Here is a 22,369-nt window from a genome sequence, read left to right on the forward strand (position 1 = left end):
GAAACTCAATTTTATGATGACAAGCTAAAGGAAAAGTTTAAATTTAATTTAAATTTTCTAGTTACTGGCACATAAATATTTGCTGTTTGCTTCTTCCTAATCTGTGTAAACAAAGGGTAACAGCTAACCCAGTGCTTTGCATTCTCAAAGCCACTCGAGTCAACAACTCTATCACATCAAATTTCTTTCAGGGTTTCTCATTAACTGCAGCTGAAACTTGTGGCTTCTGATTTCAACTTTAATTATACGTCAAGGTTTGCATTAAATAATTTTTGGTTTATAATTTTTCATTGCTATAGCTTAAGCGTCAATTATTCTGTCTAAGTTTGTATCTTTACTCTACCCTTAATAGGTATAGGACCTTGGGCATATTATTTAACTAGTTTGCCTTGAAAGCAGTTATCTGAAAAATCTGGATGCTACTAGTACCCACCTCATAGGATTGTCATGGGAATTAGATGAGATGTCATCTGCAGAACACATAGAACAGTGACTGGAGCTTAATAAACTGCTTGATAAATTTAGTGGTGGTGGTGGTGGTAATAGTAACTGCTTAATACATTTATTTGTAGTAGAAGTGCTAGTAGTAATAAGTGTTTAATAAAAGTAGTAGTAGTATTTAATGGCTATATAATGAGTGGTATAGTTAGTGGTTATACCGTAAATTATTTAACCAAGCTCCTACTACTGTACATTTTGTTTATTCCTCATTCTCCATAATCATAAAAATGCCAAAATTAATATATTTGTGCACATAGTTTTTTTCCTTGCTTTGGATGATTTTCTTAGGAAAGTGTCCCAGAAATGAGATGGCTATCTCAAACACAGCTGGATGGAGAGAGTGAGAACCATGCCAGGTCATCCTCCACAGCCCCTTTATCTTCTCCCTCCCACCATGGTGTCTCCCCTTCTCTCCTCTTACCCCTCTCTGGGGTATGGTGACTCTGAGGGAGGGTAAGAAGCAGGGGGTCCCCCAGGTGGGCATCTCATAATACATCTCCCTCCCTCCCACACCATCCAGCACGACTAGGGGTTAAGTGACATGTGACATGAAATGTGCTAGCCCTCCTAGGGCCATTTGCATTGTAACAGCAGCTGAGACCTTAGGCCAAATGAAAAATGAGCTGATGGTGACTTAGGAAACAATAGAGAGCAGGTTGGAATGGCAAAGCTCCTTTAGTCTGGGTGTAGAGGAAGAGAGGGAGAGGAGAAGGATGAGGTGATCGTCAGTCAGCTCAGAAATGCTCCTTCCCACATCCTAGATCAGGCCCTGCCAACTCTGGCTTGAACCGACGCTCAAGCCTAAGGCAGCACTCACCAATCTTTTTCTCACCATGGCATACATAAAAATGATAACATTCATATGTCATGTCTGGTTATGGAACACGGAGGTGCCCACCTGGGAGCCCCTGAGTGCTGAAACATCAGTATCCCAGCAGACCTATAACTTTGTGGCGCAGAACTGCGGGTGCTCTGGCCTTGTGGGCTCCTTCGTCCCAGTCTCCTTCCCCATCTCTTCAGCTCTCTGATGCCCTTCCTAAAGTGCTGTTTCATTATGTCACACCCTACTCAGTTACTCTCAACCTTCCCCTGTCTCCTAGCTGGGCATTCAAGACCCTTCTCATTCTGGCCTCAATCTGTTTCTAGTCCCATTTCCTTTTGCTCCCATCCGAGGATGCGGCTCCAGCCGGGCACCACACCTTGCCCCGCAAACATCGCGTTTGTTCTAGCCTCTCACTCTGTACTCACACTAGTCCTTCTTAGCATGCCTTCCCTTCACCTCTGCCTTTACTCTCACCCCTTGTCCCAGACCTAACCCAGTCCCCATCCCTTCTGGGAAGCAGCTCTGTCTGCATCAGCCCTTCCCTGCATATCAGTAGCCTTCACGCTATGATCCATTCACTCGACCCTTGACCCTTTAGTCCAAATTACCTTTTCATGTGTGTGTGGCTTGTGTCCCCAGCCAGGCTGAGGACAGACATGTGAGGCATGGAAGGGCATGAGCTTTGGAGCCCAGGGACTGCCATGCTCACTTCCCTGGGATGCATTTCTTCTTCTATAAATACAAAAAGTCTTGGCCAGGCATGGTGGCTCACACCTGTAATCCCAGCACTTTGGGAGGCTGAGGCGGGTGGATTGCTTGAGTTCAAGACCAGCCTGAGCAACATAGTGAAATCCTATCTCCACAAAAATACTAAATAAATAAATATAAAAGATCTAACTCTTGGAGTGGTTGTGAGGTTCACCTTAGTGCATATAAAGTAACCAATGTGTGCCATGTACATAGTAGGCCCAGCTCAAGCAATGGGCTGCCTTTCCTCTCCATGGCACTGGTTACACAACAGATCCTGGGCAAAAGACCTATGGGTCTCCTTCCAAGCCCCAGGGTAAGGTAGTGGTTGGCATCCTGCCCTGCGCCCATGATGGGTACTAGACCCTCAGTGCAGCCCTTGTCCCCTGCCCAACAGGCCGCTTCCTGGAGCTGCATATGTACATGACATCTGCACTGGGCAAGAATGACATGAAGGCCATTGGCCTGCAGATGGCCCTTGACCTCCTGGCCAACAAGGAGAAGAAAGACTCCATCACGGGGCTGCAGACGCGCACCCAGCCTGGGCGGCCTGACTGGAGCAAGGTAATGCCAACTGGAGCCCTGCAGCTTGCAGGTATGGATGAAGCTGAGAGCTCGAGGCAGCGGTGGGGAGACGAGGCCCAAGCTGTCAGGGGCAAAGTGTGAGGTTAAGTCCAGAGTCCAGAAGGGACCTCGTGGTGTGAAAGGTAAACAGGGCACCTACACTGGCTTTATCACTAACCTTTGTTCCATCATTAGCCTCAGTTTCTCCATCTGTTCAGAGAGGAAGTTAGTCTCTATGACCTCAAAGACCCCTGCAGCCTTGACTCCCTATGGACCAGTGTCAAAAGGCCTGAGTGGACAGGGACCTGGAAAAACAACAAATCTTATCATCTCCTGTTACAAATGGGGAAACTGAGGCACAGAGACATGAAATCGTTTGCAATCCTTTTATTTTATTTCTCAGATTGGTTTTATTATTTTTCTTTCCTGAACACTTACTTGTCAGGGTTTGCGGTTTGCAGGAAGTGGCCCAGAAGGTGCTGCTTTTAAAAGTGCTGCAGATGACCCCATGCCTGGGTCATGACAGCTGAGTGGGAGGGGAATGTCTGTGGTGAGTGCTTGGGCATCAAAGAGGACTTTCAGAAAAAGGCAATTCATAAGCAGAATTTGGGGTAGAAAAGGGTCCTCACTGGGGGAAAGACTGACATCAGGAAGGATATTTAAATCACAGCAGGGTGGCCAGCCCTGGGGACTAACACCAGGTTCAGACTCCCATGGGAGTCCCAGAGCACTGTATGCATCTCTCTGCGTGTCTGATTTAGTGCCTGTCTCCCACAGTTGCAGATCCTTGAGTGGAGGGCCTGGGTCTTATTTATTTCTGGCCCTGGTCCTCTACCTGGGGTTCTGGGTCATGTTGCCAGCTGAACAAATGGCTCTTAGTTGAATGGCTGAGTGTTGAACTCTGCTGTAAAACCCAGCAGCTGTGCCATGCAGCTCCCTGTGTAAAATGGGAATGCTCATTGCTGCCGACCCGTTATGCTGTTACCTCCAGGTGGTTGTGTCACTGGTGAGTCAGCAGCTCCACCTATCTTCCCTCTTCTCTTCCTCAACCCCACTGACTCCAGGTGTTCCAGAAAGTGGCTGCTGAGAAGAAGGGCAAGGTGCAGGTCTTCTTCTGTGGCTCCCCAGCTCTGGCCAAGGTGCTGAAGGGCCATTGTGAGAAGTTCGGCTTCAGATTTTTCCAAGAGAATTTCTAGCCTCACCTCTCCAAGCTCTGCCCCAAGTCCACACCATGGGTCTGCTTCATTGCATTAGTATAAATGCCCCCACAGGGACCAGCCTCAGATGACCCACCCAATAAGACAAAGCCTAGGGACCCCCTAATCCTGCTCAACAGAGAGAACAGGAGACCCCAAGGGGCAGATGAACTTCCTCTAGAACCCAGGGGAAGGGACAGTGCCTTGTTCAGTCTGCTGTAGATTCTGGGGTTTCTGTGAAAGTGAGGGAACCAGAGGCTGGTCACGGGAGCTTGGGGGTGGGGTTCGAGGGGGCAGAGGGCAACCACTCCTCCAAACATTTTCCGACGGAGCCTTCCCCCACATCCATGGTCCCAAACCTGCCCAATCATCACAGTCATTTGGAAGCTTATTTCTCCGGCATCTTATAAAATTGTTCAAACCTACAAAAAGTGAGAAGAATCATACAGTGAACAGTGTTACCTACTTTCTAGACTCCTCAGTTAATAATTTGCTCTGTTTATCACATATTATCCATCAGTTCCTCCTCCCTCTTTCCATCTGTCAATTTATCTGATTTTTTGGATGCATTTTCAAGTTAGGTGCAAATATCTCAGCACACCTTGCTACTTGGAGGAGCCTTCTTCAAATGCACATTCCTTGGTCCCACTACCAGAAATTCTGATTCTGATGATCTGGGAATGAAACCTGAAATATGTATTTTCCACCAAATCCATTTGCATAGGGAGAAATAAGCAGCATCTTTCCCTGCCCCTCCTTGTGTCTTTGTCTCCCCATCTCCCTCTCTCCTGGCGCGTCCCTCAGAGCCTCTCTGGGCTCTGTATGCTGGCCTCTTCCTTCTCTCTGTGTGCTGAGTCGCTTGAGAAACAGGATGGAGACAGCCTCTTTGTGTGCCTCTCTCTGTCGTGGAAAGGCCAAGTGCCTGGGGATGAAGCGGGCTAAGCCTGGAAGCTCAGCTCAGCCACACTCTGGCTGTGTGGCCCTGGAAGCTTCCCCATGTCTGTTATTTTCATCTGTGAAATAAGCTGATGCCATCCGTCAGTCACAGTTGCTGTGAGGTGACATGAGACGCCAAGTGCTCAAGACATTCCACCTCAGTTCAGCTCCTTGCTGCTCCAGGCTTTCGTGCATCTACATCATTTCTCTTTATCCTGGCTCCCTCTGTCTCTGTTTTCCAGCCTCTGTTTGCGTCTGTCCCTGTCTGGGCAGGAGGGAACAGCAGAGGCAGCAAAGGCTCTCTCAGCACATACTGTGGGGAGGAGCGGCCCTGGGCAGAGGACAGGGTGGGCCTCACCTCCTCCATCTGAGCTGGACATTTCCATCTGTGCCACACCATGAGCTCCTGTGAGCCCCACATTTCCTGGGCATCCTCCACCTTGCAGTCAGTCCTGATAGGTTCTCTTCTTGACAGTGTAAAGCACCCTTCCCCAAGGCTGCCATCATGGGGTTGGAACCAGGCACTTTCCAATGGGATTGTAGCTGGCACCTTTCTTTTCCATGGGTTGGAAGTCCATGGTTGCAAAGGGGGAGGTAAAGAAGCCGGATCATAACCTGGATGATGATGTCCCTTATCTAAGGTGGGGCTGGGATGCAGCAGTAGGGGTGGGTGTGACCTGCAGGGGATGAGCCAGTTGGGTGGATGGAAGAATGAAGGTGGGGGAAAGCTCTCTTCTGAAAGGGGCAATAGGAAGGGGATGGTGGAGGAAGACGCTGAGGCAGGCCCTGGGAAGGGGAAGGCAAAACATACCCTGAGGACTGGGACAGAGCAGGATGGGAGTGAGGATGTCATCTTTAAGATGTGAGGAGGAACGGGAAGAAGAATACGAGAGGAGGAGTGGGGCCTGCAGTCAAGGAGAGGCTAATTCGGTTTGGGTGGGTGGAAAGCGGGGCTCGTGCTTGCACCAAGCCTCCATCTCCCTGGACTGGGAGTCAGCAAGGCCAGGAGACCTGGTGTTGGGGCCTTCCAACCAGATCGTGTTTAATTTCCAGCAAGCCTGGGGAGGCACACAACTCACCAGGGAAACTCACACCTGGAGTTTTACCAGCCTGAGGCCACACACTCTTGGAACCTCTTTCCCTCTGTTGAGTCTGTACTTTCCCCTCTTCATCAGGCTTGGGAAGGCTTGGACAAAACGCTCTCTGGGGCACAGAAGGAAACTAAAGAGGGTGTTCTGACTTAAGGTTGGAGGATGTAAACAGGCTGTGCCAAATCATTTGGAAACGTGGCAGAATCTGTTTAGCACAGGATGTCTCACACATGCACTCAATGCACACACACACATGCATGTCACCGTTTTGGATTCTTTCCCATCTCTGTCTACACCGCCTTAACACATTTGAGCCCTGCCCTCAGTCCTTTGCCCTCTCGTAACAGATTTCCACCAGGCTCCCACCCGCATATACAAATAGTCAGCTGTTCGTTTAGGACTTAATAATATAGTGGGTGGGAGCAGGTGGAAGGACTTGGACATACGATTCTAAAATCCGTGAATGCCCACATGTGTGACGACCATATGCCCGTGTCCTGAGGTTTTCTCTCCAGACAGATTCCAGTTGCCCACGAGAGGGCGCTGCAGAATCACGGATCTCAAGCGGGTTTGTTTCCCAGGAAGTGAGACTGGTCCGTGAGTGGCAGTTAATCAAAGGGAAAGGGGCTGGGAAGACAACGCCCTGTTCCAAAGCTCCCCACTAGAGGCAAAACCTCCAGGCTCCATCTCTGTGAAGTCAAGAGACTTCATGTTCAAGGTCAGTTTCTCTAGCTGGCAGCTTCTCACTGCCGCTGCCTTCCCCCAGAAACTCTACCCTCCCCATACCCAGTGTCCAGTTCTGGGCTTTCCTCTTTTCTGCTTGCAACAAAATGTCCATCGGTGAGGTCAAGTTGAACTGAACAGGCCTGGCTTGGGGAGAGTTCACAGGTCCAGGTTCTGTCTGCCTCGGTGGACATGTCATCGAAGGCAGCAGGACCACACATGTGAGTGTACAGCACGCATGGTCTGACCATCTGGATGTTTCCCAGATGTGCAGATGGGCATCATCGGCCATCAACAGGAAAATGCATCCGGATGACTGGCTGACTTTTCTTCTCTCACCAGATGTTGCCAATGCTGTAGAAACATCTGGGCCCACGACAGATAAGGCTGACACATGCAAAGAGAAGAGAGAAGGAGCAAGGCCAGTTATCGGCACGTGTGCCCATCCTCCCCCATGAAGCTGCAAACTCCCCAAGGCCAGACATGGGGACCCAAAGCCTAGCACAGAGTGTAGACCAGATGTCGGTTCCTCCCAGGGCAAGGGGTTACTTAAATGGAATTATCCTTACAAAGAGTCTTTTGCACCTAATTGTCACTTGTAATTTGGGGAACAAAAGCACAAACACAAGCCCACTGAACCACTTTGCCAGGTGCCATTGCACTGTTCTGTGAGGACAGCGCTGACGGAGACAGCAGGCATTCCTGAAATGACCAATCAGGCAGGGCCCTCCTGGACGAGCGGCACAAGTGCAGGCTATTAATACACTGAGCTGGGGCATTCGTGGGAGGGGAGGGGGCATGGGCAACATGGAGAGTCACCAGGCTGGCAGACAAGGTTGAAGGTAGGGAGGGATGAGGAACATTAGCCGAGACTGGCTCTGGGCCAACCTGTTGGAGACACAGTGGACAAACCTTTGCCCTCTGGGAGGCAGGGCACTGAGTCCTACACTTGCCTCTGCCACAGTCTGCTGTGTGACCTTGGGTGTATCATTTGACCTCTCTGAGTTCTCACTTTCTTATTATAAAGTGAACAGATCAAGTATGTATGCGTTTAAGCACTTGTCATTTCTAAAAGGATACATGAAAGTATATTTATCTGTGTGCTCTGGGGAGTGGGAATGGAGGGATACAATGAAGGAAAGGATTTTGTGTTTTTGTTTTTGTTTTACTTTTTGCCCTTCTGTAAAGTTTAAGTTTTTATTAATATTATAGTTTTATTTTAAAAAGAAACCCCAAATAGGATGTCATGTAAAAGAAAAGAAAAAACAAGTACCAAGTGTTTGATATAATCCTATTTATAACACAGAAAATAAATGACATATGTATATCATGTGGGGATAAATAGATAAAAATACACGGAAAGACAGTTAGAAGCCAGCCTTAATCTGTCTTGGGCCCAGACAGCCCTTATCTGTTGGGGGCCCAGATGTGTCTACAGCATTGTTAACATCTGGTGAAAGGAGAAAAGTCAGCCAGCCATCCTGATGCGTTTTCTTGCTGATGGCCGATGATGCCCAAATGCTAAGCAGTTCGCAGTGGTTAACTGTGGAGGAGGCAAAGGAGGACTTGAATGTTTTCCTCTTATCTGTTTCCTGTATTTGTGTGTTACCTGAGTAAGGTTTCACTTCCTGTATTACTCATGTGATATTTTACTTTTTAATTTATGTACTTTTGTATGGCTTGTATCTATTTTTTAAGAGTAAAACAAAATGCAGAGATTATCTGCAGTGTTGTCTAAGATCCTGAATATTGATTTGGTATCAAGTGAAAGTATTTCGGGCCTAAGCCAGGGGACTGGCCCTCCCCGTCAGGGGTCACTCCGTGGGCTCTTCAATAAGGGAGGCTCCTATAGTGCCCATTATCAATATGCTGCTGGCCCTGAATGGCCTAAGTATTAAAATAAAATGCCCTGTCTAGGCCCAAAACTAGTCCAGAAGGACTGTGGAGGCCGTGGGCATACACGTGAAATTGTGTGCACAGGGGCTAAGCCCAGCACCAGCCCAGCCTGGGAGTTGAGATGCCTCAGGGCACACTGTCTGTGCTAAACAAATACTCATATTAACCAGCCTTCCTGACAGATTGATGCATCTTTTTATGATCTGTCTTTACAATATGATGACTCTCTCCTTTTAAAAATAAGATTAATTCAGACAAGACATTTATTTTATGAGGAAATTCATCCCAGGGGGAAAAATACTCAACCTGAATGGCAGAAATGGCTGGAAAGAGACTTGACTCTCAAGGAAGCTTCCAGCCTCCAACCTTAGCCACCCAGCCATGGCCCCAAAAGGGCTGCCCTAATACTACTCAGGGACAAATGGGCCCTCTTAAACTACCCTAGCTGTGTGAGTGTAGCCTGCTGGAGAAACAAAGAAAGACAGGTAGTGAGTTTTAGTGTGGCAGGGAAGAAAAGGATGCATTTTTTGGTAAAGGAAAAAAAAATTCTGAGATTTACCCAAATTTGGCTGGACATGAGTTTATAAATACAGATTAAGCTTGTCTTTAAATAACCCTAAAGAATGTTCAAGAACAGTGAATGATTTGTCTCTGTGTCCCCAGTGACTAGAATAGCGTCACCACCTAGTAGGTGCTTGGCGTGTTTCATGAATGTTTCCACTGCTATGGTCTGTTTCAGCTGGTGACCCCATGAGGTACCCTTGGCTCCTCTATCTCCCCCATCTTCCTCCTTCAGCCAATCATCAAGCCTGTCAACATGGCATTCTAAATGCTTCTCAAGCACATTTCCTTCCCCACTGGCCCTGCCTTGGTTCAGTCCTTAAATTGCCTATTGCCTGAATTGGTGCATCAGAGACAGGCTGGAGAAAGGAAGACCAGTTAGCCAGAAAGGAAGCTTGGAAGACCACCCAGCTAACTGGTCTTCCTTTCTCCAGCCTGGCTCTGATCCATCCTCCACACACTGCTGTGGGTCTGACTGCACACCTTCTTTTTGGAGGACTCTCCTATTATAGCCATCAAACTCCTGAGTCTGCTACACAAGGCCCCCCCAACATAAGCCCTAGATGAAGATCTGCTACCATTACAGCCAGTATTACCTGGCCCTTGCCTACCTCTCAGGTCTTGGCAATGTCCACCTTGCTTTTTTTACTTTAAATAGCATCATTTCGTGCTCCCCCAGGACACTGTGCAGCTTCGCACCTCCAAGCCTTTGCTTCTGCATCGCCTGACACTTGGAGCACCCTTCTCCACTTTCAGATTGAGACTTCGGAACACTTTATCATCAGCCTATCTGTAAAGACTTCCTTGCTGGTCCCTCCCATCGCAGAATAAACAGCCTGCTCCGTAGGATTGTACTGTACGTACCTACTTGTACCTACACATGTATTGGACGGTATTGTATTTGCCTACTTACTTGTCTGTGAACTCCTTGTGGGCTTTGTCTCCCCAGTGCCTAGTGATCAGAATAAGTGTTGGTGAGCTGCTGTGACTCCTTTGAGCCTCCTTCTCATTCCTTTCCCTATTTTCTCTGCTGCTCCCCTGCAAGGGTGAGAACATCCCACCATACCCGCAGGCAGACAGGACCAGTGGTACAGGTGGGTAGAGCAGCTGGCTGCCTTTCAAGGTGCACCTTCAGGGGCCCTAGAAACATCCCGCCTCCCCCCAGCTCTAGCTCTAGATCTCTCACACATGCTTTCATTCCATAGCCAGGGATCAGGTTGAATTTGCAAACCCTAGAAATCCACTGGCAGATGTGCACTCCACCTTAAAATCACACTAAGATGGGACAGGCTGGTGACAGAGCTGCTCCCAGCTCCCCCTTGGTAAAATGAGGAGGTGGGGGCCGGGTGTGGTGGCTTACACCTGTAATCCCAGCACTTTGGAGGCCGAGACAGGCGGATCACAAGGTCAGGAGATCGAGACCGCTGTGGCTAACACAGTGAAACCCCGTCTCTACTAAAAATACAAAAAAATTAGCCAGGCGTGGTGGCTGGCACCTGTAGTCCCAGCTACTTGGGAGGCTGAGGCAGGAGAATGGTGTGAACCTGGGAGGCGGAGCTTGCAGTGAGCAGAGATAGCGCCACTGCACTCCAGCCTGGGGGACAGAGGGAGACTCCCTCTCAAAAAAAAAAAAAAAAAAAAATGAGGAGGCGGGGCTCATGGTGGCTGGTTCCTTTGTGCTACCTCCTCCTTCTCTTCCTCATTCTTCTTCTAACTCAAAAGAGATGAATGACTTAAAAAGCAAATGAATCAGAGATAGGGAAAGCAAAAAGAGAGGTAATTTTGCTAAGTTATTATTCAAAGGAGCTCTCTGGGACTGAGAGCAAGAGTGGCCCCATCAATCACCTAGCAGAATGGGGCAGGCGGGGGACCCAGCAGTTGGTGTCTGTGGATATCTCTGTGCGTGAACAACCAGGCCAGGAGCCTGGGGCCCTTGCCAGATGCCACAGAGGAAAGAGGCCAGAGGGACACTGAATGGGGACAGTTAGCCCAAAGGCCTGAGAGGGCTTTACTGACCTGCTTTACTCAACAGAGCCCCCTGAAAGCCCCATTCTAGGGCGGGCCAAGAGTGGGAGGAGGGAGATATGACTGACAGGGGCGTGGCAGGAGCCTGTTCTCCCCAAGGCGTTGCTACCCTGAGGGAAGAAGCCACTGCCTCATTTGATCAGATGGGGATCCAAGCCATACTCATTCCTGTATTCCAGGCCTTGGCCTAGTGAATGCATTCTCACCTGTAAAATGGGGATGATCATAAGATTGGTACTATTAGGTAGAGTAATGGCAAGGATTAAATGAGTGAATGTACATGAGGTGCTTAACGCAGTGCCTGGCATGTAGTATATTTCAGTCAATGTTGTCTGTCATCATCCTCATCACAATTACGTTCTATGGAGGCAGGCAGGCAAAAACCAAGTAAACAGATGAATAAACAATGACATTACGGAGAGTAAGTGCTCTCAGAAAATAAAACAGGGAAGCGGCAGACAGTAAGTGCAGACAGGAGCACGGGTACCTGGAGTCAATCCCCTGGGGCGCACATGCCAGGAGTTGTGTGATGACAGGAAGTCATGAAATGCTTGGTGTTTTAGTTCTTCCTTTACCCCGTAAAGTGAGGGCAGCAATGCCCACCTCACCATGGAGAGTGTGTGTGGGAGGGGGCATAGTGTGTGAGAATGTATGTGAGTGCACGTGGTGTGAGTATGTGCATTTGGGGAGGAGGTAGAGAATTGGATAAGGTACAACTGTAAACTATCAGCATTGGGGCACAAAGGTTCAATAAATGCTGATCATTGTTCCTGCCTATGACAAGCCTCAATAGATACTAATTCAATGATAATGTGATTTAGAAATTTCCCAGATGTTAGGACTTTCTCAGGGAAAGGTTATTCAACAGGGAGGTCGCTGTGGGTCCCCCACCTTGCATGCACCCCTCCGCAGCTCCACTGCCCCCTGGAGGTCTCTGCAGCCCCTCATCTTCACGTCCTTTGTGACCAAGCCACATTTGGAGGCCTAATAAATGCCTTCCCTTCCTGAGAGGACCATCAGGCTATGGCACTGCCCCTCCCTGCATCCTTCTCCAAACACTGATGATCCTGGGCTGCAAGAGGTGGGTGGAGATCCACTCCCAGCCCCTCCAGCTCATTAGCGGTGCATTATGAATTCCGGGGATAATGTGTGTGATTTCCTCTCCTGATTGCTGCTGAAATCTCCTGCCTGTTTATCAAATCTGAGCCATGCTCTGCAGCCCTCTGCTCCTTGGCTCTGGGCTCTTCTTCTCCAGAGGAGGAAAACAAGGAAATGCTCCTAGGGGATTCCGGCTCTAGAGAAGAGGATGATGGTGACAGTGAGCAGGAAATAAGGTTGGCTTTAGGGGCAGAGGGCAGAAGGGCTCCATAAAGCCCCTGACCCCCGACCCAGAGCCACACTGAGGCTAAACTCCCAGGGAGAAAAGCCCTACTAAATCAGGTGAGACCTACTCTGTCACCATTAGAGAACCACTCATTCATTCATTCACCCCACAGGCATTGGCTGAGTGTCCGCCTCGTGTCAGGCACTGTATCAGTTAACAAGGATACCAAGATGAAGCATAGGCCCTGCCCTAGAGTGAGAGGGAAACACACAGGCCCATAGTGCCAATACAAGGGGCAGATGCCAGCACAGTCCTCATGAGGTGCTGGGGCAGCATGAAGGAGAGAGGAAGCAAGGTCAGGGTGGGGGCGAGATGACCCCAGGCGGTGGTCTTGAAGGAGAAATGAGACTTCACCAGCTGGAAAACAGGGGAGGGGGAGGGTATATCTGTGCACACGAGTCCAGGCGTGTGAAAAGACCCAGAAGTGTGAGTTGCTGGGTGGGATCAGCCCATCCTGGGGTGGCTGGAGGCCAGGTCAGGAGGCAGCGAGAGAGGAGCACAGGCGCAGTGATGGACCTCGAGGCTGTGCCAAGGAGTCTGTCTTTAATCTGAAAGCAAGGAAGATCCACTAAAAGGTGTAAAGCAAGGGCATGTTTGGTCCCATCTACCTTTTAGTGAATCTTCCTTGCTTTTAATACCTTTTAGCGTTAAAAGCACTAAAATCAGGCGATGAGACCAGACACACCCTTGCTTTAACACCTTTTAGTGGATATTCCTTGTTTTAACACCTTTTAGTGGGATGGGGATGGGCCTGGACGTCATGGGTCAACACCTTTAACAGCTGTGAGCAGGGCATGTTCCCTAGAAGGAGCATGGGCAGGACAGGCAGGGAAAGTGCCTATGACAATGACTGCTTTGAACTGCGTATTCAGTTGCCACCAGATCCCTTTTCACTTTCTCTGGGCACGGGTTGTTTCAGATGTGTGCGTGTCATCTCCTGCCAGTCTGAAAGCCCCCCGAGGCTGGATCCTTCCTTCCCTCTTCACATGTCCTTCTTGGAAAAGACCGTAGGAAACAGCAAGCACTCAATAAGGACTTTTTGCCTCATCTTGGATTGTTTCAATGCCATTTTACAGTTATTTCACTATTTCCTTACTGTTTGCAATGATATATTTGCCATGGAATGTTTACCTTCTCCAGTGTCTGCCTCCCCTGCAAACACAGAGACAACCCAACTCTGACTACCTGCCCAATTTCCTTCTCCCTTGCAAACTGAACCCTGCCTTGTTCTGGGCAGCCCCAGGTCATAAACAGTGACCAAGTTAACCATGAAGATTCTGAGGTAGCCACAGGCCTGGTTCTCCAGTGACGGTAAGGAGGGATCTGCTGGGGATTCTGGGGAAGCTTTTGCTCTTCTGCTGAAAGGAACAAGGGAGGCTGATCCACCTCTTTCTCCTGCTTCCTGTCTTGACTGAGATTCCTGGACATCCTGAGGTCTCCAATGCCCATGAGGCAGAAGCCCCAGGCATTCAGGACAGTGACAAGGCCCTGCCCTGATCCGGGCTGCCTTCTTGCTCTATGAGGGAAAGAAGTTTGTTTTTCTCTCTGCTCTTTCCCAGCTCCTAGAACAGCGCCTGGTATGTGGTGGCCACTCAATCATCCTTTGTGGGCTGAGGGAAGGTCTACATTGCTTAGGCCACTGTTAGCTGGGAGTTCTGTTACTTACAATTGAACATATGCCTAACTCAGTAACTGTGAAAAATAATAACAGTATATGCTAAGTTTATAAATGGAGTAAACTGGGTAGAATCATAAACTAAGGTACCACCCTAAAATTTGAAGAAAGATGCTGTCATGAGCCACCTGTTTTCCTGACCCCTCAGTCTTTCTCTGCCCAGAGCTGGAACCACTTGCCCCTTGCCCCCTCCAACTTGCACTTGCACCCCTCTTCCTCAAGGGACTGGCAGAATGGCTCATTTTCCTATGAGTCCACATTTCATAGTACAGGTCATCACCTTTTGGCCTTGCCTTGACTCCCAGAGCTGAGGATTCAAGTATGACCCAGATCTTCCCAGACTGGAGAGCTTCAAAGCCCCACCAAAGACCAGGAAGGGAGAGAAGCAAAGAAAGGAAAACCCTGAAGTCATTCCTGCCATATGGCTACAGCCTTGCATCATCCCTGATGTGAGCCATTAACCTGCCAACTACCAACCAATTAGCTCTGGTCTCGGCTGTGCTTCCCTAGCTTATGTCTCTGCTTCTCATCAGCCACACAGAGGGGCCCTTATAACCCCCACCCCTTGGGGGCTGTCCTTGGGGGAGGCCTAAAAGGGTCCTCTATAAACAGCTTAAACACATCTTTCTGAGCCCCCTCCAATGGGTGCTGAAGAGGAAGTTTCCCCCAGGAGACTCCACAATCAGGGGCATTTATAAAGGGATTATGCTGCCATTCACAAATTATGTTTTTACCAAACGGAATGAAGAAAATGAAGATCATGAAATAACCAGCTTTCCTGAGGTCCCTGCTGCAGGCCTAGAACCTGACTTGGCAAGATCCCCTTTGAGACCCATTATTTTTATGTCCAGCTGATATCAAACTTGAGTTTCTCAGCTCCCACTCCACATGCTCCTATTTTATTGCTATGTTGCTGTCAATGCCCCCCATTTCCAACCCCAGCCATTGTCTGAACTGGCACCTGCCCTTTCCTTCAAAATCCAGCTCAAGACTCTCTCCCTGTAGGAGTGTTCCTGACCCTAACTGAACCCTAATGACCCCATCACTAAACAGTCTGTTTACATCATACTTCCAAACACACACGTGTGTGTGGATTAGTAAATGTCTAGAATCTTTATACTTGCCTTTGTACAATCTTCTTGCCCAAACTAAGTTCCTGAGGGAAGTTGCGGGCAGTTCCTCTATATATCTCCTAATGAGAATCCATGATTTGGTACATAGTGAAAGCTCAAAAATATTGCTGACTTTTTCAATAATCTGTTGCTTTTTAATACACCAATGCAAAAGTGAATGGCTTAAGACAACCATTCTGTCATCTCTCATGAGTCCAAAGGTTGACTGGGATCAGCTGGGTGGTTCTTCTGTTGCACATGATAGCAGCTGGGGCTGCGGTCATCTGGGGACTACTGGGCTGAAGTATCCAGGATAAGTCACTCACTTCGCTGGTGCCTTGAGGGGGTGGATGGAGGCCTGGCTCAGTTGTGAAGCTGGGACAGTTGGACCTCCCTTCCTCCCTGTCTTCCTCTATCCATATATTCTCAAGGTCTCTCCTTCTCCACTTGTTCTATGTGATCTCTCCAGCACAGAGAGACCACACTTCTTACATAGTGACTTGAGGATCCCCAAAGCACAAAAGTATAAGATTTGAGGATTTTTAAAACTTAGACCACAAACAGCTTAGTGTCACTTCCAACACACTTTATTGGTTAAAGCAAGTCACAGGCCAGCTCAGATTCAGTGTGGGAGGGGATCACACAAGGGTGATGTGATTCACTAGGGGAGGTCTGATTTGCTAGGGAACATCTTGGGATACTAGCTACCCCTTGACTGAATGCCCAGTAGCATTTATGGAGGCCAGGGTCTGGTTGTCATTAGTGACGAGATTACTATAAAAAACCTCAGCTGTCTCTTCCTCAGACTATTTTCATCAAGAATAAAAAGAACACACACACACACACACACACACACACACACACACACACACACACACACACTCACACTCACACATACTCATACCACCTGGAAAACCACCATTCCAACCTGTAAAAAATATAAAAAAATCTCTAAGAGGGTGAAAATGTGCATATTATGAAGGAAAGATTAAACACCATCACTATTAGCTGTCCATTTTAAAAAGATGTCTTAAATACATTTTTTCATTTGATCTTGATTCCCATCCCCATTTTAGAGATGAAGAAACTGAGGCTCAGAGATAATAAGTAATTTACCCAAAAGGGTGGAGCTAGGTCTGAATAACCCCAAGACTTGTCCCTGATGCCAGAAAGAATTATTAGAATATGAATTAGTGTGGTGGCTCATACCTATAATCCCAGAACTTTGGGAGGCCAAGGTGGGAGGATCACTTGAGCCCAGGAGTTTGAGACCAGCCTGGGAAACATACCAAGACCCCATCTCTACAAAAAAAAATTTTTTAAAGAATAGGAATTATGCCTATCAATGATAGACTGGATAAAGAAAATGTGGCAGATATGCACCATGGAATACTATGCAGCCATTAAAAAGGATGAGTTCATGTCCTTTGCAGGGACATGGATGAAGCTGGAAACCATCTTTCTCAGCAAATTAACACAAGAACAGAAAACCAAACACCACATGTTCTCACTCATAAGTGGGAGCTGAACAATGAGAACACATGGACACAGGGAAGGGAACATCACACACTGGGGCCTGTCTTGGGGTTGGGGGGCTAGGGGAGGGATAGCATCAGTTGAAATATCTAGTGTAGATGATGGGTTGATGGGTGCAGCAAACCACCATGGCACTTGTATACCTATGTAACAAACCTGCACATTCTGCACATGTACCCCAGAACTTAAAGTTTAATTTTTTTTAAAAAAGTGCAACAAAAAAATAAGAGTTAGTGTTTTTGGTCTAAAGAAACTGAGATCCTGAAAGGTGAAATAGTCCAGGGTCCCTCAGCCAGGATCCTGATTCCCCTTTAGAAGAGAACAGATGCAAAAAAAAGCACAGGGCCTGATTCGTAGTAGATGTTCAGTAAACACAAGCCCCCATCTCTTCTCCAAATGAGATTTCTTCTACAGCTCACTGTCATTGGTCCAAAGAATGCAGCCGCTACACTGTGTTATTGGCAGGATTGTGGGCATGACTGATTTCCTTTCTGATTGGGTAGGAAGGCTGAAGGGCGAGTTTGGAAGGGCTCTGTTCCCTTCATCTCACTCCTTTCCCCACTCGCATTTCACCCAACAGTCGTCTGATTTTTGAGCAATCTGTTCCTGGAAAGCAGAGGAAAGTAACAGATTGATGCATCGACTGCGTGTGGCCAAGTGATTTATTTTTAATGTGACTAAACAAGACACACACCTGCCTATGGAAACGTAATCACATTGAATCATCAGGGACTTAGATAGCCATTTAAGCAAGGGAAAGACAGAGAGGAGACAGAGGAGAGGAGGAAGAGGAGGGAGAGAAAGAAAAGGGAGGCAGGGGAGCAGAGACAGAAGAGGAGAGATAAGAAGGGACTGGAAGAGAGGGAAGGGAAGGGAAGGGAAGAGAAGACTGGGCCAGCTCCCTAAAAATGTTTATTTCAGCAGCATCAGTGAAGCACCCTCAATTGGCCCAAATGCCTGTGGTTTAGCTTTGCTGATGCCTGAAATTTCATAATTAGACTTTCGTCCCTGTGATTTAACCAAACACAGTATGTTCTCCACTAAAGTGTAAATGCAACAGAAGTAGTGCATCAAACTACATCAATCATTTTCACCTCAGTGAGAAAGAACTGATATCTTTTATGAAAGCAGGAGTTTTTCTATGGGGGGGTTGTATTAGTCCATTTTGCATTGCTATAAAGGAATACCTGAGACTGGGTAGTTTATAAAGAAAAGAGGTTTATTTGGCTCATGGTTCTGCAGGCTGGATAGCATGACACTGGCATCTGCTCGGCTTCTGGTGAGGCCTCAGGAAGCTTTTACTCATGGCAGAAGGCAAAGGGGGAGTAGGCAGGTCACATGGCAGGAGAGGGAGCAAGAGAGGGAGGAAGAGGTGCCAGGCTCTTTTATACAATCAGATCTCACTCTAACTAATAGAGCAAAAACTCACTCATTACCACAGGGAGGGCACCAAGCCATTTATGAGGGACCCACTCCCGTGACCTAACACTTCTCACCAGCCCCCGCCTCCAACACTGGGATCACACTTCAACATGAGATTTGGAGGGGAGAAATATCCACACTATATCGGGGGCATTAAAACAAAGTTTATGGGAGTCACCAGTGAAGGCACAGAAAGGAACCTTGGGGGCTCTAGGGACTTTCTCCTTCATGGCTTTTCTTAATGATAACACCTACCTTTACGAGCATTTGTTATGTTCCAGGCACTATGGATGCGAGCCATTACATGTACTATTTCATTCCATCTTCCCAATGGCCCTGGAATTTTGCGCTGGTGTTCTCATCACTCTCCAGGTGAGGGAACTGAAGCCCAGCCTGTCGTCATCTGTCTCAGCACTCTGAAAGGAAGATCCAGTTACAGCAGAGTTTCTCGTGGAATGCCCAGCCTCACCAATAGTATCTTGCTTGCAGAAGGCACTCAGTAAGTATGTGCCAACAGAGTGAAGTGGCAGGGATGGGACATGAATGTAGACAGTCTAACTCCAGAGCCTGTACCCTTAGCATTTGCCACAACTTTCTCCCAGATAGTCCACTCCGTTCTCCCTGCTTCTCACCCGAATAGCATACGAAATTCATGAACCACTGACTTTGGGAGGCTAAATGTCCTCCATCACAGCTCCCTTCTCAATCTCCCTGGGTCAGTACCAGGAATTAGCCAGCCAGACTGTTCCACTCTGTACTGCTAGTTTTCTATGTCCAGATACCTTTTCCCAGTTAGTCTGTAATGCCTTTGAGGGAAGGCACAGCATCCATGCAGAGTCTATGGGGGGATGTATGAGTCCTTTTGAAATTGCAGTTTCTTTCTCAAAAGCAAGATTATATCTTTGTGTTTTCTATTAATATGATTGTGGTAGGTTTTTTTCTTGAATTTTATATCAATATCCTTCACCCTGCCCCTAGCAATAGCACGTGAAGGAGATTATGAAGTCATAAGTTAGGGGGGCATCAGATTGATAGCTTTTTGAAGATTGATAATATCTAGTGTGGGCAAGGATGGAGGAAATGGATACTCATACATTGTTGGGGAGGCTTTCGAGGAGGCAAATCATCAGTAAGTAACAGTGGCTGAAACAAGATAAAAGCTTTATTTTATTTTTTTCTCATACAAAAGTCTAAGCTAGTAGAAAGTCCTGGAAAGAAGGCTGGCTCGGCTCCACAAGGTTATACAAGGACACAGGTTCTTTCTGTACATTGTACCACCATCCCCAGGGGTGTTACCTGCATCACCTGCTGGAAGCTGACTCCCACTACCACATCTGTTCTCTGAATAGATTTCTCCCTGGGGAAAGCAGAAGTACAACAAACAGCGTATTTTAAGGACCTGATTCAGAAATTGCACACAATGCTTCTCATCAGTCATAACTTAGTTACACGTCCCCATGTAGTAGCAAGGGGGGTGGAAAATATATTCTCAACTCATACCCACCTGAAACTCAGGAGATTCATTGCTAAAAGGAAGAAAAGAGAAAATGGATAGTAGGGGGACAGTGAACAGTTTCTAATACAAACAGGAGGAATTATCAAAGTTAAAAGTGCATATATTGCTAGACCCAGCAATTCCAGTTCTAGAAATGTATTCTAAGGAAATAGTCACACAACTACACAAAGATTATGTATAAGGGTAATACTAGTGGTTTTAAAATATGTTCACAAATTCTTTGATACCCTTCCCTTCACAAAAGGGCTACACTTAATGACTTACTCCTAATGAATAGAATGTGGCCAAAGTGACAATGTGTGACTTCGGAGGCTAGGTCATAAAAGGCCCTATGCTTCTACTTTGCTCTCTCGAATGACTGGCTATGATGGAAACAGCCACCATGTTGTGAGGACACTCAATTAGCCTTGTGGAGAGACCCACATGGGTGAGAAACTAAGGGCTGCCACCAACAGCCCACATCCACTTGCCAGCTCTGAGAGCAAATAGATCCTGCAGGCCTAGTCAAGCCTCATTTGACTGACGCCTCAGTCAACATCTTGACTGCAAGCCCATGCAAAACACTGAGCCAGAAACCACCCACCCAAGAAGCTGTGAATTCCTGACTGGCAAAAAATGTGAGTGATTATAAATATTTATTATACTTTTAAGCCACTACTTTTTGGAGTATTGTGTTAGGCAGCAGTAAATAACTAATACAATAATCATTGCTTCCTGTTTGTAATGACAAAAAAGAGAAAGAAAATAAAAAATTTAAAAAAAGAAACACCAGAAATGTAAATAATGGGAGGTTAAATAATCCATGAGAAATCCACAGTTTGGAATTTGCAGCTATTAGAAAGAGAGCTATGGCGTAAAAGACCTGTATGTTCTGTCATTGACAGCTCCTTAAGACATATTAGTACATGAAAATGACAATCTGAAGAACACTTACTGTATGGTCTCCATGACATAAAACTGCAAAAAAGTTATGTGTGCATGTACATATGTGCATATATGCAATAATGTTATATTTGTGTATATCCGAATGTGTACTTTCACATACTTGTAAATGCGTGGAATAGGAGTGAATGTCGCATACCAAATGGCAGGCAGTGGTTTTACCAGGGTGGAGGAAAGTGGAATGGGGGTGGCGAGTTGCAATATGGTGTTCACATTTTACTTTGTAATCTCCTGCATTGTTTCAACTTCTTACAATGAAAATGCATTTGCATATTCCCTGTGTGATAAAACAAAGAAAATCATAAAAAGAGAGAGAGGCAGGCAGATAGCAGAGATGGAAGGAAGAGGAGATAAATAGAAACAGCATTTTACCCACTGAGTCGTGACTACAAGCATCTTATTTTACCTGTTTGTTTTTCCTTAACATCCCAACATAGAAAACACACACTTTGTTTTAAAGTAACAGCGAGGAACCGCCTCGCTGTGGTCTTTCGCTTGCTTGGCATTGCCCCTAGGGTGCTCGGAGATGGGCTGTGGAGGGGGACGTTGGGAACTGCCCGACCCCATTCTCGCCTTTTCCCGCTGGATGTGCAGCTTTCGGAACGTGCAGGGGCGGGAGTGTCTACAACCTAAGAAAAGGGCCGCGGTGGGGAGCCCGGAGCAGGGCTGGGTGCAGGGAGCGCTCTCGCTGCCCGGGGCGCTCTGCGCTGCGCGCCCAGTGGGGACAGCACGCCGCCCCGGGAGTCTCCAGGCGCGGGAGGTCCCAGCAGATTTTGCATAAAGGGAGGAATCGAGTCCAGAGAACAAACAAGATACTGGAGGTGGTGGCACGGAGAGGATTGATTCGGTTTGCAACCCTACGAGGTCGTGGCCGCTCGGGGCAGGAAAGCAGGCTCCTGTCTCTCCAGGATCCAGCCTCCCGATCACCGCGCTAGTCCTCGCCCTGCCTGGGCTTCCCCAGAGACGGGAGCTTGGGTGGGGGACCCTGGACCCGAAGCCAAGGCTGAACTGGTGTGCCAAGCCCAGGGAGCAACCAAGTCCCCAACTCTTTCCCTGCCCTTCCCGCAGGCTGAGCAGAAAACCAGGAAATGGATGGACTCCACCTCCGCAGCCACGCCTGCCCGTTTGCGCTTACTGAACAGAGGTCCTCAGGAACGTGGTGAGACAAAGAGAAAGGAGGGCGTTTTCGCCACCCTCTTGCTAATGCTTCAATAACTCCCCATTGCCCTAATGAGCTCACCATCAGAGCCTGATTAAGACCTTTGGAGGCCCTAAAATTATAAGACCCACTATCTCCATCAATGTAATTAAAAAAAAAACAACTTTAAATGGAACTTTACCAAAAAGCCGATTTTCCTCTGTGAAATTATTTTAATAGCAACGACAAGCCCTTGCCTTGCAGCACACTGGCCTGCCCAACAGAAGATCCAGTAAGGTTTGCAAAACCAGTTGGGATCTCCTCACCTTGCCTCTCTCCTCTTCCTGCACCGGCCGGCTAACCTGTTTCCAGTTCCTCCGAGGCTCAGTCCTTCCCTGAGTTTCCCATTGCCCTCCAGAGCCAGCATATATTTCCACTTCCCTAGCTTTCAGTCCAGGCTGTGTTAGATGCCTTCAGTGCTTTCTCCATCACAGGACTTAGCACACAGAGTAGGAGAATATTCCCGTTTCTTCCCTGTCACCCTCTCTGTGCTGAGGGCTCAGAAGGCAGAGACACCTTTT

General features: G+C 47.6%; 2 protein-coding genes and 1 long non-coding RNA gene across 6 annotated transcripts in view, besides 1 other annotated feature; 2 read left to right on the forward strand and 1 right to left on the reverse strand.

Annotated features, from left to right (window-relative positions):
* SPESP1-NOX5 (SPESP1-NOX5 readthrough) overlaps nt 1-9,897 on the forward strand; it is a 132,238-nt gene extending 122,341 nt beyond the window's left edge. For all 3 annotated transcript variants that reach the window (NR_033671.3, NR_033672.2, NM_001184780.2), the window contains 2 exons: nt 2,469-2,635; nt 3,700-9,897. Coding sequence is in view for 1 of the 3 variants with exons in the window: in NM_001184780.2 (NP_001171709.1) it covers nt 2,469-2,635; nt 3,700-3,831 (299 nt within the window). In the remaining 2 variants the exon portion in view is untranslated. The remainder of the gene's footprint in view (nt 1-2,468; nt 2,636-3,699) is intronic.
* The window catches only part of NOX5 (NADPH oxidase 5), a 48,068-nt gene extending 38,171 nt beyond the window's left edge, over nt 1-9,897 (forward strand). For both annotated transcript variants that reach the window (NM_024505.4, NM_001184779.2), the window contains exons 15-16: nt 2,469-2,635; nt 3,700-9,897. In NM_024505.4, the coding sequence (NP_078781.3) occupies nt 2,469-2,635; nt 3,700-3,831 (299 nt within the window). In that variant the 3' untranslated portion in view covers nt 3,832-9,897. The remainder of the gene's footprint in view (nt 1-2,468; nt 2,636-3,699) is intronic.
* Nucleotides 7,116-7,615: an enhancer, noted in NCBI's record as "NANOG-H3K4me1 hESC enhancer chr15:69352321-69352820 (GRCh37/hg19 assembly coordinates)". NCBI's record gives its function as "activates a minimal SCP1, AML or CMV promoter by ChIP-STARR-seq in naive H9 embryonic stem cells {active_cell/tissue: H9 hESC(naive)}" and the evidence as "EXISTENCE:reporter gene assay evidence [ECO:0000049][PMID:30033119]".
* On the reverse strand, nt 15,804-21,354 carry LOC124903515 (uncharacterized). Its single transcript, XR_007064692.1, has 2 exons — nt 18,448-21,354; nt 15,804-17,376 (listed from the first exon to the last, which is right to left on the reverse strand). It is a non-coding gene; the product is annotated as an uncharacterized LOC124903515 (long non-coding RNA).
* Between the last annotated feature and the right edge of the window lie 1,015 nt (nt 21,355-22,369).

Source organism: Homo sapiens, chromosome 15, assembly GCF_000001405.40.
Source record: "Homo sapiens chromosome 15, GRCh38.p14 Primary Assembly".
NCBI classification, from domain to species: domain Eukaryota; kingdom Metazoa; phylum Chordata; class Mammalia; order Primates; family Hominidae; genus Homo; species Homo sapiens.